General features: G+C 35.5%; 1 protein-coding gene and 1 long non-coding RNA gene across 3 annotated transcripts in view; both read left to right on the top strand.

Annotated features, from left to right (window-relative positions):
* Positions 1 to 16,212, top strand: part of ANXA8 (annexin A8) — a 523,804-nt gene that overhangs the window by 365,413 nt on the left and 142,179 nt on the right. The gene's annotated exons all lie outside the window — the stretch shown is intronic.
* Positions 6,904 to 16,212, top strand: part of LINC02675 (long intergenic non-protein coding RNA 2675) — a 32,287-nt gene continuing 22,978 nt past the window's right edge. Inside the window, exons 1-2 of one of the 2 annotated variants that reach the window (XR_945945.4) lie at positions 6,915 to 7,028; positions 15,491 to 15,494. This is a non-coding gene — a long non-coding RNA (long intergenic non-protein coding RNA 2675). Of the gene's footprint in view, positions 7,033 to 15,490; positions 15,495 to 16,212 lie in introns of both variants that reach the window. The other variant, XR_945946.4, reaches the window with a different exon arrangement.

Raw genomic sequence — 16,212 nt, 5'->3', positions numbered from 1 at the left:
GGTAGTTCACAGATAATAGTGGTTTTGTTTTCACAGTCTTTCTTGTCAAATCAAAATTCATACAGCAATTCATGTGAAAAAAGTGATTGACTATCCTTTTACAATTTACTTGATAAAATCTAAGTAGCCAAGAATTCAAGCCTAGAAGACTCTGACCAATATTATCCTTTATGCTAAGAAATAATATTCCAAACCTATTTCTTAGGCTATTAACTGCCATTTGACCCTTTATAAGCTGTTATGTTTCAATTTATTCAAATAACATATAATTGTCCAATAAGTTTGCATTGCCTCAGTACCAGATCTATAAAAGGTTAATGGGCTTTAAAAAGGGAAGAAATCTTCTGCAACAACACGGATGAACCTGGGAGACTTTACGTCAAGTGAAATAAGCCAGGCACTTAAAAACAACTATGACATAATCTCACTTATATAGAGAGTTTAGATAAGTAAAACTCATAGAAACAGACAGTTAATTGGTAGTCATCAGAAGCTAGGGCATGGGGAAATTGCAGAGATGTCGGTCAAAAGACACACAATTCCAGTTAGCCAGGAGGAGTAAGTTCAAAAAATTGATTGCACATCATGGTGGCTACGGCGAATAACAATACATTTATATTTGAAAATTGCCAATAGAGTAGATTTTAAGTATTCTCACCACACACACAAAATATAGTAAGTAGGTGAAGATGTTGTAGAGGCCCAAATTCGGGCTCATGTACCTGATGCTCAGTTGAAACCAAACACTGACACACCAATGCTTGGGGATAGATAAAAGTTTATTCCATTTGGCCAAAGTGAGAACGGGGCAAGATCTCTCAGACATGTCTTAACAATAAGACGAAGCAGAGGGGGCCGGGTGCGGTGGCTCACGCCTGTAATCCCAGCACTTTGGGAGACCGAGGCGGGCGGATTACGAGGTCAGGAGATGGAGACCATCCCGGCTAACACGGTGAAACCCCGTCTCTACTAAAAATACAAAAAATTAGCCAGGCATGGTGGCGGGCGCCTGTAGTCCCAGCTACTAGGGAGGCTGAGGCAGGAGAATGGCGTGAACCTGGGAGGCGGAGGTTGCAGTGAGCCGAGATCGCGCCACTGCACTGCAGCCTGGGCCACAGAGCGAGACTCCGTCTCAAAAAAAAAAAAAAAAAAAAAAAAAAATGCAGAGAGGATATTTTTGCAGCTAGACAGTAAGAGAGGGGGAGTTTTAGGGAACCAAGGGGAAAGTCTGTGTTTCTTTAATCTCTGATAATATCCTGAGCAACCAGACTTCTGGGCCTCAGCAGTTAGTTGCAACATCCTTATAGGCATTCATTCCTTCTGCAAATGTTTTTTTGTTACCTTAAAGTTATCTTCTCCTGGTTGACAAAGAAATAGTAAATCAGCAGTTTGCAATTGTATTGTGAGAACAAGGGATGTTGGCTTTTATGCAAGCAAGCAAGGGCCTAATTCGAATTTTTGTTATCTCAATCACTAAAAATGCTGAGGTATTGACACCTCAAGGGGTCCGATTACAAGGTAATGCATATAATGCGTATGTTTAGCTTGATTTAGCCATTCCACAATGTATGTATACTTTAAGACATCATGTGGTACACCTTAAATATATACAATTTATTTTCAGTTAAAAAATAAATAATTCAAAGGAAAAAACATTAATTGGAAGACTCACAAAGATGAGATAACAGGGAATGATAAAGAAGAGGAAAAATGTCAATATAGTTTCAAATAATGAAACATAAAAAATGGAATCAACAGTGGTGCTTTTTGATATGATCTTGAAAGTTAGCAAAGGAAAAAAAATACATGAACAATCTAGATTTATAAATATTGATCTAGAGACACAGCAGAAAATAGTTCAGAATATGTTTGAATATAAGAGAATATTGTTAAATATCAGTTTGGAAACTTTATTTGGAAAATATTAAAGTATACTGAATAGTTCAATACTTCATAACAAAATTTCTCTAGAAGAAAAATATAGACAGAAAGCAGCCAAAAACTAGTATTTGAACCTTTTGAAGTATCATTACAACTAATGTTTTGTGTACTATTTTGTTTTTGGAAATGCTGGGCCTAAGAAGAATCAGAGGAGAAACATATGAAGCCTTTTTACTTCTTTTTTTTTTTTTTTTTTTTTTGAGATGGAGTCTCACTCTGTCTCCCAGGCTGGAGTGGCAGTGGCGCGATCTCGGCTCACTGCAAGCTCTGCCTCCTGGGTTCACGCCATTCTCCTGCCTCAGCCTCCCGAGTAGCTGGGACTACAGGCGCCTGCCACCATGCCCGGCTAATTTTTTTTTTTTGTATTTTTAGTAGAGACCGGGTTTCACCATGTTAGCCAGGATGGTCTCGATCTCCTGACCTCGCGATCCGCCCTTCTCAGCCTCCCAAAGTGCTGGAATCACAGGCATCAGCCACTGCGCCCGGCCACCTTTTTACTTTTAAGTCAGGTGAGAAAAAAATCTGCCTTTTACTTTGTCACGGGTCCCAAAGAGGACGAGAATTTAAAAAAAAAAAAAAGAAGGGAGACCTGATCATCAGAGCATATACAGTGTTGTGAAGGCAGATGTAGTAAAATATATTATCTAAAAAAGGACTGAAGAAACTGAAATGCAACCTGCTAATGAAGATAGGTATGGAAAAGAGATATGAAATAAGTGCTTTTGGACAAGAAGATCACAATAAAAGGATTTCTGTGAAAAGACTAAAAACACAAAGTCAAATAAAATACATCACAGAATGTAAATAATAGACACCAGCTGCATGGGTTTTAAGACTTTGTTGAAGGAAAAATATAAAACTATAATTAAGAATGAGATTCTAGAAAAATAAGAAACATACAGACATTCAGCAATATCTAATGGTTTAATTTCACAGAAAAAAATTAGGCATTTATTAGAAAGTGTATTTATAAGGAAACCATAGAATGAGAAGAATCCTTGACCCTCCTCAACTTTAACAATTATGATACATCAAATTCACTTTTGATGGCAGAAGTGATGATATATTTTTTTAAAGTAACCTAGCCTAAAGTACGTCCTTAACCACTATCATTTAGACAATTTTTTACAAGCCCTTGCGTTGTGTACAGTAGCAAGCTCATAAGTGGAAACATTGGGCATTTAGAAGCAAACTGGTGATATGGAATTTTATTCTCTTTTTTTCTGTTTTTATTCTAAACAAAATTTTACTTCTACCTCCTACTAAGAAAGATCTCCTTATATTCATTTCCTATATGGTTTGGTATATGAATAAAGGGTGATAACAAATATAAACTAAAAGATGGGTAAATTTTTACATACACTTTCATAGCATTTATAGAGTAAGAAAAATAAAGGAAAGCAAAAAAACTACAAACAAAACAATTGAGAAGTGAAAGTCAAGGGCTTTGACTCAGAGGAGCAGAATGCTGGGGTGAGAATCCTCATGACATATGAAAAGAAGGAACCCAGTACACACAGTAGACAATTGGCAATTGAGAAAAGGAGAAACATCTCCATGGAAACAGTACAGAATGATTCTTTCCTTGACCTTGCGAGAAAGAAATCTACCGTAATTTTGTCAGACTAAGTAAGGATTTCTGTGGCCATATAAAAATGTGTAATGCAATATAAGAAAGTACTTTCCTCACATGTAGTTAAAGATGGATGATTGTTCTGATAAAAAATATGCTTACAGCTAAACTTGCTGCCACAGTTTAGGAAAATAAATGCCAGGCACTAGACTAAACCAAGGTGCTCATGCCATCCCTGGCAAATAGTAAGCTCACAGTCATCTCAAATAACTGCAAGATTAATAGATGTTTCAGGAAACAATAGGTAAGTAAATTAGAGAAATGGATAAATGTGTAAAGCTTCTATGCTAGTTTATGAGTGTTTTAGCTTAGAGAGTGTTAGGTCAGGTCAGTCTGTCAGGTACTTCTCACAATTGAAACTGTATAAAATTAAAATACTCAGATTTCAGATTTCAGAAAAAAATGTGTACAGTGAGATGTGATGTACAGAATAAAATCCTTCCATTTGAAGGAATATATAATGAGGATACCTAGAAAATGGTCTGGAAAGAATGTTAATAAATTGATGCTACTCTTTTATTTGACTACTGCAGGTCAGGGAGCATGGATCATCTGTGAGCATGTCTACAAGGAGGACAAAGCGGGTAGTACTATGGGGTCTCTTGCATGTACCATGCACACTATAGTCTATGTGAATGCTGCTTCCCAGAATCATGTAGTGTACAATCTTCCCTTTGGCAATGGGATGGGTAATGGTTATGATGTGAAGCAAACTTTTTCTTTATAACCTATACATTTTTTTTGTTTTTGCAGCAAGATTTTTTTCAGATACCAATTTTATAATGAGTGAGAATGATAATGAGGGACAGAACTACCAGGTAAATATTCCCCCACGTCTTGTTGTTGTATAACATAGACATCCTGAATTAGTTTTAAAAAGAATGATGATTTTTTTTTCTTCTCACAACGCTATTATTTTAAGGAGGAAGGCATGTGAAGACTTTGTATATAGAGTCAATAAGAAGATTTTAAACACGTGCATGTAAACTTGGCCGACAAGAGGCACTTGGATCTAGAGAGACTGGCAACATATAGCAGAACTTTAGCATAGCCTAGAGCTCTGTTACAGAAATTATGAGCTGGGAGAAGAGACAATGGTGAGCTGATGGAAGTCAGAGCAGCCAGGTTAATTAATTAGGACTCTCAATAAACACTAGAACAAAAATAAAGAAGACAGTAATCCGCTAGAACAAAATGGAAACCAAGGAGTCACTACCCACCCATAGACCCAATAACAATAGATGACAATGTTTGATAAGAAAATTAGAAGCAGGAGAGAAATTAGCATTTTATGAAAGAGGTTGTAGTCAGTTGGACAGATGGATGTTTAATTCTTGAATCCTCTATTTACACATGCTAGTGTATCTTCCTCTCTGGATCTGTTTCCATATAAGGGATATAATAATTATTATTTCATACAGACATTTTGTTGTGTTGTTGATACATTTGTGTGAGGTACATGAATAATGTATCTAAGTGTCTTGCACAAATCCTGGCACATAAATGTTCATTAAATGATGGGTCTCTACCAACATCCAATATGAAAAAATATTTCCATTTCCCAGGGGCTTCAGAAGATGAGTATGAACTCATCTTAGAGTTGAAGAATGTATCAGACAGGAACAGGTCAGAAAAAGATCCCAATCTATGTATGTCATGTATTTAGGGACTCAGAAGGAGACTTATCTCATGATTAGATGGTGTGCATGGGCAAAGAAAGGAAAAAAAATGCTGCTATTTTCATAAAGGCTGAAAATGCAATAATTATGGGAAAGTTGCTAACAATGATTTTAGATGCTTGTCAAACCTAAACAGGAGGTCACCAGAAAAATGCTCTAAATCTCTTCACTGTGACATCCACATCTAACACTCATGCCCTTATTTAGCATAATTTTACCTGGAGCTCTATTGTCCTGAGATCCTAGAAAATGTAGTGTCTAGGTTTCTCCCTTGTAATTTAAACAATACTTCAGAAGTTAGAAGACATGAGTGGATAACAGGAAACCTGTTACAGGATACAACTTGATTAATATAGATATAATAAATAATGGTGCTTCCTAACCTCAGTTAGGATAATAAATAATACATGTTCCAGTTAAATAATAAATGTTGTAGTCTTTATTACTTGAATTTCTTACAAGACATTTAAAGTTCATGAAGACAGATAGTAGATCTGTGTATTTTAATCATTTTTTAAGCGTCCAGAACTTCAGTTAATCAAATCAGTAAATATTTCTTTTCTTAAAATGAAACAATCTGCACATATACAACTCCACTCTGAAGAAAGGCAATTATTTTCATAATTATAGGAATTTCTGCATAATTATGTAAATAATTGCCTTTCTTGAGAGTGGAATTGTATATGTGCAGATTGTTTCATTAAAAAAATGTATTTATTATAATTAAAAAAGGCTTTATATATACATAAAGCCTTTAAGGCCTTTTGTTTTTTTTAAAAAAGAAGACTGTCCCTCCAAAAGTGGCACGTAGTTCTACCTGTTGTATAATCAACACTTTACTAATTTATGGATTTAATCCACTGCTTATCCCCAAGATTTCCGAGATCCCAAGTCCAATATAGTCAAGGCTCAAGATCAAAGTACTTACACTTTACCCTCACTACACCCCTTGCCTTTTATACTCCACCAAATACCACCTCCCAGAAGTTGCTGTAAAAAGAATAATTTACCTACATACATGACCATTAGGATTCTGCCTTGAAGCAGACATGCAGGAAAATATAATATTCCATCCCATGGCAACTTTTCTTTACTTGTTTTGTTGTAATATTTTTGTGTACCCTAAGAAATAGTCATTTTAATAGATTTTCAATTATAGACTAATATTTATCAGGGATTCATTATAAAATATGCTATGAATTTCCTTGATGGTGGGAGCAGATAGAGAGGAATATATGGTTCCATCTCTTGAACCTCCTCTGTGCTCTCTTATCTCAAGTTTATTTCATCAGTCAATTAATCTGCTTCTGTTACTGTGTCTCTAGCTCCCCCTGCCTTTCCCTGTCTCTCAAGCACTGTGGTTTATTATTCCTTATCACTCTAATAATAAATGCCAGAAGCTATGTTTCCTCACTAAGACATATCCTGGGAAGTCAATAAATACACGTTAAGAAGACAAGATTTCTCAACTTTGTTAAGATACAGATTTCTATCATTAACAATTCTGATTTAGCAAACATTTATTCACCCCCAATCTTTCTAACTTAGTTTATCTCCCAGAATTCTGCGGCCACAATTTGGTGTGTGAATAACTGATTGAACTTGCAACAGGTGGTGAATCATTAATGGCAATGTCAAGGCTTAAATCTTGCTCCACTGGTTCACCCATGGCTGCTCTCACATACCAAGCTAGAGTTCAATTAGAAAGTTGGAGATCAGTAACTCCAGAACACTGGCCAGAGGGTCAGAAGAGCTGACTCGTGGACATTCTCATTGTGGGTAAAGGATTCATTGGGTTTAATAGCAGTTTATGTCATTCTTTTCTAAAAATTAGCAGTACCAGTAGTCTCATGATTTAGGTAAATTTGCTGTTGATTGGGGTAGAATAGTAGAAGTATATTAATAAAAATGCCTTTTAAAAATTACAGAGTATTCTTTGCACTGCTGAAGTGATTCATGAATGAGAAATTTTGAATTACTACACATTAATATTTTTTCTAGCTCTCATACCTGTATAAGTCTCAGAAAGGACAGAAGTGAACAGAGATGAGAATGCAACCCTCTCTTAGCAAATGATCAAGCGATTGTGTATTGTTCAATGATTAATTGATATTTTAAAATGTTTCCAGGAAGACTAAAACACTTTTTGAGAATTATGTTCTTAATTTTATACTCACAGCTACTAAAGCAAGAGGGCTTCTTAGTAACAAATTATTTTTACAGTAATCAAAGAAAGGTTAAAATAAGAGAGTAAGATACCTAAGGCCACATGGAGAGTAAATGTCATAGCTGGAAATTTGGCAATGGTTTTGTGATTCTCATCATTTTCTATTTTGTTTTATTTTGTCTTGTAATACAGACTTCTCTGAATTATTTTATTTCTGACAGAGAGTAATATTAGACTAGGCCTTTATTTTTACAAAGCGTATGATTTGTATTGTTTACTAAATAGGTAGATAAATAAGTATGGACCAAAATAATGAGCAGTTATCATAAATGTTTACATATATAGAAAATTGTTTTTTAATGGATAACCTATATAAAATAACTTTTTAATAAACATGTATGGTTCAAGAAGGACATTTTAAATTAAATGTTCAATGCCATTTTAAGAATTTGATTCTCTAAAGAATATCCACAAAATTTGATACCACATTAAAAAAAAGATGCCAAATAAATATATCTAGAATCCTCTAGAATTTATTTATTGACGAAATCATAAGGAAAAGAATTTTCATATGTAATTTATTAAATGATAAGTGACTTGTCATTTCATTTACTTGGGAAATAGCATAATAAAGTTTTTAGGAGGTTTTCCTCTAGCTGGTAATTTTTGACAATTAAAAAACTTGACCCAGTTTTGAAAAATATTTGAAAATACTTGACCCTGCCCAAAAGCCACCTGCAAATAGCTTATTTGCATGAACATTAAACACAAGGGCTTTCATGTTCCTTTTACTTATTACTGGGATAACAAACCTCCATTCATTAAGCACAGCATCGTTTTTGTTGTGAATGAAAAATCAGCCAACTTTCTGCCACATCTGGCTGCTAATCTATAAGTTTTGAATAAACAGTAGACAGTCAATTGCCGGCATCCATTCTCTTAAACCACATGAAGTTTTTTTTTTCTCCCCAGTCAAAATGCCATTTAATACAATTTCATTTCATTTTTCAGAACAACCAAGGCTTTAAAAATAGATCAGGTTTTATGGTGCAGGGCGCAAAGCATGTATTAGATAATCTAAGGATAAATCTGTTCATATACTAAGTCTCTCAGTGTCCAATTGCCGATAAAAGTTCAAATAGTCACTGCAGACAGGATAATTTCACTGTATCAAAAACTGGCATTTGCATTGAAAAGTCATTTCTACTCATTTTTGAGAAACCAGTAGCAAAGTTATTAATTTTATAAAAAACCTAGACTCAATCTCAGTGAAGATCTTAATGGGTTTTTTGCTGGGCAAAAAGATGAGGGCAGTTTAACTGCGATAGCTACAAAACATGGCATATAAAACATTTATTTAATTGAAAAATAACAGCTACAGCATCCATAAAATTCAAAGCCCAGCATTAGCATTTTTTCCCACTGGTTCTAAATGAACCCCATCCTCCTTACTTTAAACCTTCAGAACAGTTGCCTATAGATAGAGTTATTAGTCAGACATTTGGGAATATCTTTCAGTGTAGCCATATGAAAATCTACCAGAGCACACATAAGAAAAGTCGTTCGGTAATGGAACAGACAGCTATGCCTCATTAAAATGCTTCACCAGATAAACTATAACAAGACTATTTGTTCTCATAATTTGTTACTTTTATTAATGAAGCCTCCCAATATGATGCCCCTCCCTTTTTTATTAGCAGCAATATCAAATTTTGTCCTCAGATTTATGCATATTTGGGTTCATTTCTTAACTTTCTTAAACTTCAAGTTTATTTAGGCCCCTGTTTCAACTAACATTTTGCTGAATCCTTATACATATTTATGCTATGTATTATTCCCAGCTTTAAAATTCCCGTTTTTAAATTGATATTAACTCCTCTTCTAAACCATTTTTTCTATATGTAATTTATATGTATATATATGACATGGATACAGAATTTCCTTTTGTCTCAAATTTTTGTTTATTCCCTATTAAATGATGAGTATCCCTAAATTATAGAAGAACAGTTAAGTCTTTGCAGGTTTTAATAAAAAGTAGCCAGACCAGTTCTGTAACTAAAACCTTCACTGACCTCAATTACCTGTACTCTTATGTAAAGAGAGGACTAGACATTCTAAGAATTATCATATAGAAAGTGAATTAGTTACCTAAGTGAGAGTGCTTTTAATTATTTTCTCTTTTGTAAGGAGAACTAAACTTGCTTCCAAACAGGAAGAGAGCTCAAAAAGACTGGGAGCAATTTCAAGAAGGAAAGAATGGGATATCCCTCTCCTTCTGGCACTCAGCATTGCACCCATCCTGCAATGGAACCATACATGATGAGACAGTTTTGGGAAAGTTTGATAGGTGTCCTCAAGAGTTTCAAGATGAAGCTAAACATGGCCAGTTGTTGCCTGCTTCTTGCTTTCAAAATTCTGAAGGCTACATGCTCATTGAGGCAGCTTTTGATGGCAAGATGGAGAAAGAGAAAAGATGCCAGATTCTTCTTCCCACTTTAGATGAGTGAATATGCTAAATATAGGCCAAGTCCGTGCCACAGAAGATGTAAGAGGCTTCAGATACCCACTGGCAAGTGTTTGCAAGAAGTCAGCAGGAGAACAAATTACACAGGTTAACAAATAGGTAGCACAGAGTTACAAAGAATTTACAGATTCACTCCCGACAGAAGCAGCATTTGGGTGCCTGCCTCTCAATAGAAAAAGATCAGATTATTAAAAAAAAAAAAAAGCTTCTCTCTTTTCTTTTAATTCTTCCTGCTACAATTCTTGTTTTCCCCGTTACAATCCGAAGGGACCCATAAACAGCACTTCAAATGTGTCATGTCACCCTCTCCTGGCTGTAAGGTTTCCACTGAAAAGTCTGCTGCCAGATATACTGAAGCTCCATTGTATGTTATGTGTTTGTTTGTTCTCTTGGTGCTTTTGGGATACTCTCTTTTTCCTTGACCTTTGGGAGTTTGATTATCAAAAGACTCAATGCCTATTGGCTCTGAGATGATTGCTTGTTTTCTGGGACTCAATTATAAGGAAGCAAAGAAGGGAGGTCTGGGCATACCGACATGCTTACCTGCCATGCAGATGCAACTAAGGAAAAGCTCCCAGATTTACCAAGTAAAAGTACAAGTTGCCCATTGAATTTAAATTTCATATAAATCATGAATAATGTTTAGTATATGTAATTCCTAAATATTTCATGGGATATACTCATAGTAAACAATGTAAATTCAGCTGGGCATGGTGTGCTTTATTTGACAACTTTGAACTGAGTCTTCAGCCAATCCTACTGGGCCTCTTTCAGAGTTGTCCCAAATTGATGCAAAGCAGTTGCATGTTTGTATAACTACATTAGCCAGCCATGGGTCAATGGCTGCTCTCTGAAAGGAGGCACCACTTTGGGCGAGTTAGTTCATTTTAGTTTGTCTTAGGACAATATTTAGTGAAAGGTACAGGTGTGAATGGTCAGCTGCTGATGTTCCCCATGAGTGTGGGATCGATGTCTTCCCATGAAGATGGGGTCTGGATGATGAACCACAGTGTCTAGTACAATAATTTCTCTTATGTGAGCTTCAAGAGTGATATTGAGTTAATGTTTCTATATCCTACTTTTTTGTTTTGTTGTTTTGTTATGACTTTGTTCTCTTAACAATTAATTTTCCACCTTAGTGTTTCTTATACTGAGGAATTGTAGCTACTTTTACTACAGAGGAATGCTGAGGAATTGTAGCTACACATGACGATTGCAATTTCAAGGAAAGGGAATTTATGCTGAAATATTTGAATAACTTCCCCTCTTAGTTTTTACTATGTCAAAAAAATTCATATAAATGTATCCCTTTACACAATGGTCTACTGAAATTTTTGGTGAAACTAAAACACAGTATTGCCTTTTTTACTGTAAAAGAGAAAAAATTAAATAGATTTATGTACAGAGACACCTATTACAAAAAATATTTTTAAATGACCCTACACTGTATTTGCATAAAAGACTTAATTTGTCATTTCCTTAGAAATGAGAGGTTAGGGGCCAGGCTCGGTGGCTCATGCCTGTAATCCCAGCACTTTGGGAGGCTGAGGCGGGCGGAGTTCGAGACTAGCCTGACCAACATGGAGAAACCCCGTCTCTACTAAAAATACAAAATTAGCTGGACGTGGTGGCACATACCCGTAATCCCAGCTACTCGGGAGGCTGAGGCAGGAGAATCACTTGAACCCGGGAGGCAGAGGTTGTGATGAGCCGAGATCATGCCATTGCACTCCAGCCTAGGCAACAAGAGTGCAACTCTGTCTCAAAAAAAAAAGAAAAAAGAAAAGAAAAGAAAAGAAAGGATAAGTCTGAAGAAATAAGGAGAAATAAGATAACTTGCTTGAGAAAGAAACATACACAAACTTGATAGCTATGGAGTATACTAGATAATCCATAATACGAACACTCAGGTTTGAGGAGATTCTATATAGCAGAAAAGGCCTATCTTCACAAAACTGCTAATTTGATAGGAAGTCTAACCTTATCTTTATATGGTTGTTAATGTTAAAGCATGGAACTTTTAAAGGACCTTTTATTTTGTCAAACATTTACTTAAGCAAAGCACACTGCTCAGTGCCTGGCACTTTAAAATACTCAACAAATATTGCTTTTATTGTTCCTTTTTTTTATACTCATGGGAAAACTGCTATTTTAAATAATCTGTAATTGTTTACTATGTATTTGCAAGTTAAAGTATCTAAATGTAGATAGATTTTGGTAATTGAAGATAAAATAATAGCCCTGAAACAGGAAAAGTGAATGTAAAGTTGATGTCTTCCAGGGCTAGAGAGGTATGATATAAGACAGTAGGGGCTGCGTAAAAGTGGAGACTGTGTATTCAACATAAAGATATTCAAATTCACTTTGAAAAAATAATCGAATTTTCAGGTAGCCAGACTTGAGTTGAGACAAGCAGTGGATCTGAAAGGCCATGAGAGAAGTGTGGAAATGTTATAGTGTAAAACAGGGGTCCCAACCCCTGGGCCACAAACTGGTACCGGGCCTGTTAGGAACTGGGCCACACAGCAGAATGGGAGAGGTGGATGAGTGAGCATTACTCCTGAGCTCAGCCTCCTATCAGATCATTGGCAGCATTTGATTCTCACAGAAGCACCAGCTCTACTGTGAACTGCGCATGCAAGTGATCTAGTTTGATCCTTATGAGAATCTAGTGCTTGATGATCTGAGTAGTGGAGCAGTTTTATCCCAAAACCTTCCCCCCAACCCTGTCCATGGAAATATTGTCTTCCACGAAACGAATCCCTGGTACCAAAGAGGTTGGGGACCACTGGAGTAAACAAAATTAAGGCAGTATTAAATACGAAGATGTCTTAGATGTTATTTTCTTGCAAGAGACAGAATCTTATTTAAATTTCCTTAGTAAAACAGAGGTTTAACTAAAAGGATACAAAAATATCTTGGGCTCAGAGTAAATAAGAAATCATTAGATAGCTGTTTGTTTTATATCTAGTTCCAAGTCTGCATGGTTTCTAGTTCCCATTCATCTGTTTATCATCTTCTCCAATACAGATTAATTTGGAAGGCTGTTAGTATTTGCTCCCTTTAACTTAAGTTTATCCATGGCTTTGGACTGCTGCGACAATTCTGGCCCAATGCTATTAGACTTCTCAGTTGAGATGCCTATAATTAACATACTAAAATACCTCATTTTCTAAATCAAAATTTTGAGAAAAAGCTTCATGTATTATATGCTTCTCCTTGAGTTACACATCCATTCCTACTTTTCTGAACTGTAACCAGAAAGAACGGTCATGGGGCACAAATAGGATTGGGTTTAAACTCTCTGCTTTATCACAATGCCAGACTGATATTTAGAGCCTCTACATGTGGAAAAGCTTATGACACTCCTTCATTGTACAGTTCAAAACAAAATTATTTTGAATCTGTAAAAAAAATACATACTGAATCTAAACAGCCAATTCTAGTTTACAAAGTTCTGGATAAGACCATTGTCTTAGTCCATTTTCTGTTGCTTATAGCAGTATACCTAAAACTGAGTAATTTACAAAGAACTGAATTTATTTTCTACAGCTAAGGAGGCTTGGAAATCCAAGGTCGATGGGGCATATCTTTTGAGAGCCTTCTTGCTTGTGGGGACTCTCAGAAGAGTCCCAAGGTAGCACAGGGTATCGTATGGCAAGAGGGCTGAGTATGCTAACATGCTAGCTCAGGTCTATCTTCCCCTTCTTATAAATCTAATGGTTTCCCTCCCAAGATAACCTATTAATCCACTGACTTATCGATGGATTAATCCACTCATGAGGGAAGAACTTTCATGATCCAATCCCCTCTTTAAAAAGCTCGTTCTCTATATTGTCATATTTTGGATTAAGTTTCAACATGAGTTTTGGGGGGAACATTCAAACCATAGCAACCATGAAAGCTGAACCTTTCCAATTCTGTGCATGGATGTTTATATCTGATATCCTAATTGCTGAAGCACAGTTTCAACCTGCCTGTTGAAAAAGTCCATTTGCAACCCAGCACAAGTCGATCACTTGCTCGAGCTAAATCTCATTTTGTCTCTCAAACATTTTTCCCAAATTCATGTCATCCCTCTGCTAACAAAGAGAACAAAGGTTTGTAGATGTTTCCTCTCCCAAAGATAGGGTGAATAACTGCTTTAGGCAGAGAAGATCAAAGTGTGACCTTATTGAGCACTTTTATTGGCTTCAGACTAGGGTTTCAACAAGTTCAGACTCCTGTGGCTGCCTCACCATGTCTAAAGAAATTATGAATGATCCATCTCCTTAGTGTGATTCCCCACCCACCCACTCCAATCCAGCCCTTCTCTCTACCTCTTTTCAAATATTTCTCTAAGACTTTTCTTAGACCAATATGACTTCCCTCTCACCTAACACCCTTTCTTTAGCAAGTTATATTTATGTCAGATTCTTAATCCATTCAAAGGGAATGATGATAAAGAATAAAAGAATAATACTAAGTATTAAACTGTGCCATCTTGCCCTTCTCTCTCCCTGAGAATTTTTGCTAATTTAGTAGCCAGGGGAAATGATTGCAATATCTCCTAGTGATCTGGTGGCAGGGGGAGCATCTGGTTTGGGTGAGTCAGTCCCTGACTTTGTAATATGACCTGGTGAATAACTCAATATCAATAAATTTCAACCTGCTGCAGGTTGCTGAAGTTTTATAGAAACTTAGAAGAGCTATAAGCCACCACCATAAATTTGAGAAGCAACCTTAGGCTCAGAGAAAAAACTGGCTGTTATCTAGCTGTGAAACAAAACACATAATAATTATATAGTGAAACAGGACTTCAAAAGAGAACTTAGGCAAATGAGATTTATGTTCAACATTTTTGTGGTTAATTATTCCATGTTGCTGCTTAATAAATTTTCTAATTTTTAAGAAATACAATTCAAAAATGAAAGTTTTGATTATATTGTAGGGTATTAGCACATGTTCAGAATTTTCAGAATTGGAGTTCTCTGCTGCCCTAACTGACAATGACAAAATCAAGGGTAGAAACTTAAGCTTATGCTTATTTCATAATGCTGGTCAAATTCAATTAAAATTAGTAATGTAATCTTTGAGTGGTTACTTTATATTTGTGTTCTCAAGCAGGGACAATTTTACTTTTCAGGGGATAGTTGTCAATGTCTAGAAGCCTTTGTGATTGTCAAAACTTGGAGAGGAGGAGGTACACTACTGGCCAGAGACACTGCTAAGCATCCTATAGCCCCCTCTGCATTAAATAATTGTCTGACCCAAAATGTCATAGTGCCAATGTTGAGAAGCTGTGCTCTACATTCTTCTTATTCCTTTATTAAATCATTATTATGTGTGAAGTGACTGTTACATAACTAGTAGTAAACAATATTTTATTGACCACTTATCACGTGCCATGCTCTATTCTAAGAACTACATACATTCATTCTATTTATCCTCACTATACTACAAAATAGGGTAGGCTATAATTCCATTTTACAGATGAGGAAATTGAAGCACAGAAGAGGTAACATCCACAATCACATAGCCTGCAGAAGATAGATCTGGATTTATAGTCAGGTAATTTGGTTTTAGAAGCCCATCCACTGTGGTAAAGGAAATCAAGTGCTGCTTATTATTTCCCTTGACTTTCTCCTATGCTCTTGCAACTCTAAGAAAAGGACCTTGGCAAATCTCAATCTACAGAATAATTCATAATTCTGGGAGCTCCACAGAAAATAAAAGTTATTTATTTATTTATTTATTTATAGCTGTTGCAGTGTTCTGCCACAGGTATAGTCAACTTTGTCTGCAAAGTTAAAATTTTTAAAATGAAAGAATTAACAATTCCTCCCCTAATTATATATATATATAAATAAATGTAGGCCTTAACATTAACACAAATCATTGAAGTTTCATGGGTCAAAAATTTAGGCAGATATGTAGTTAGTAGGCATCTTATACTAATTAGTTAACATACTACTTCTTTTATTTTTATTATAATATAAACTATATTCATTTTATAATATACATAAATAAAAATCAAATGCTAAATATAATAAAGTTTATTTTATATAGTCCAGCTCGCTAATGTACATTAATGCTTCAATGATAATATTAAAGTTTCTTTTATTTTATTACATTTAGATGCAAACTCCAGCCAGGGTTCACATATTGATTTCACGTTCTAGTAAAAACTACAAATAAAAAACTATAAAGTCAGAGATTATTTCTTAATATATTGCATATACTTTCATCCAATGTAAGTCATTTCATGACATGTTTAGCTTTTTTTGTC

Source organism: Homo sapiens, chromosome 10, assembly GCF_000001405.40.
Source record: "Homo sapiens chromosome 10, GRCh38.p14 Primary Assembly".
In the NCBI taxonomy this organism is placed as follows: Eukaryota; Metazoa; Chordata; class Mammalia; order Primates; family Hominidae; genus Homo; species Homo sapiens.
Note: the sequence above shows the minus strand (reverse complement) of the source record. Positions and strands in the feature narration are given on the sequence as shown.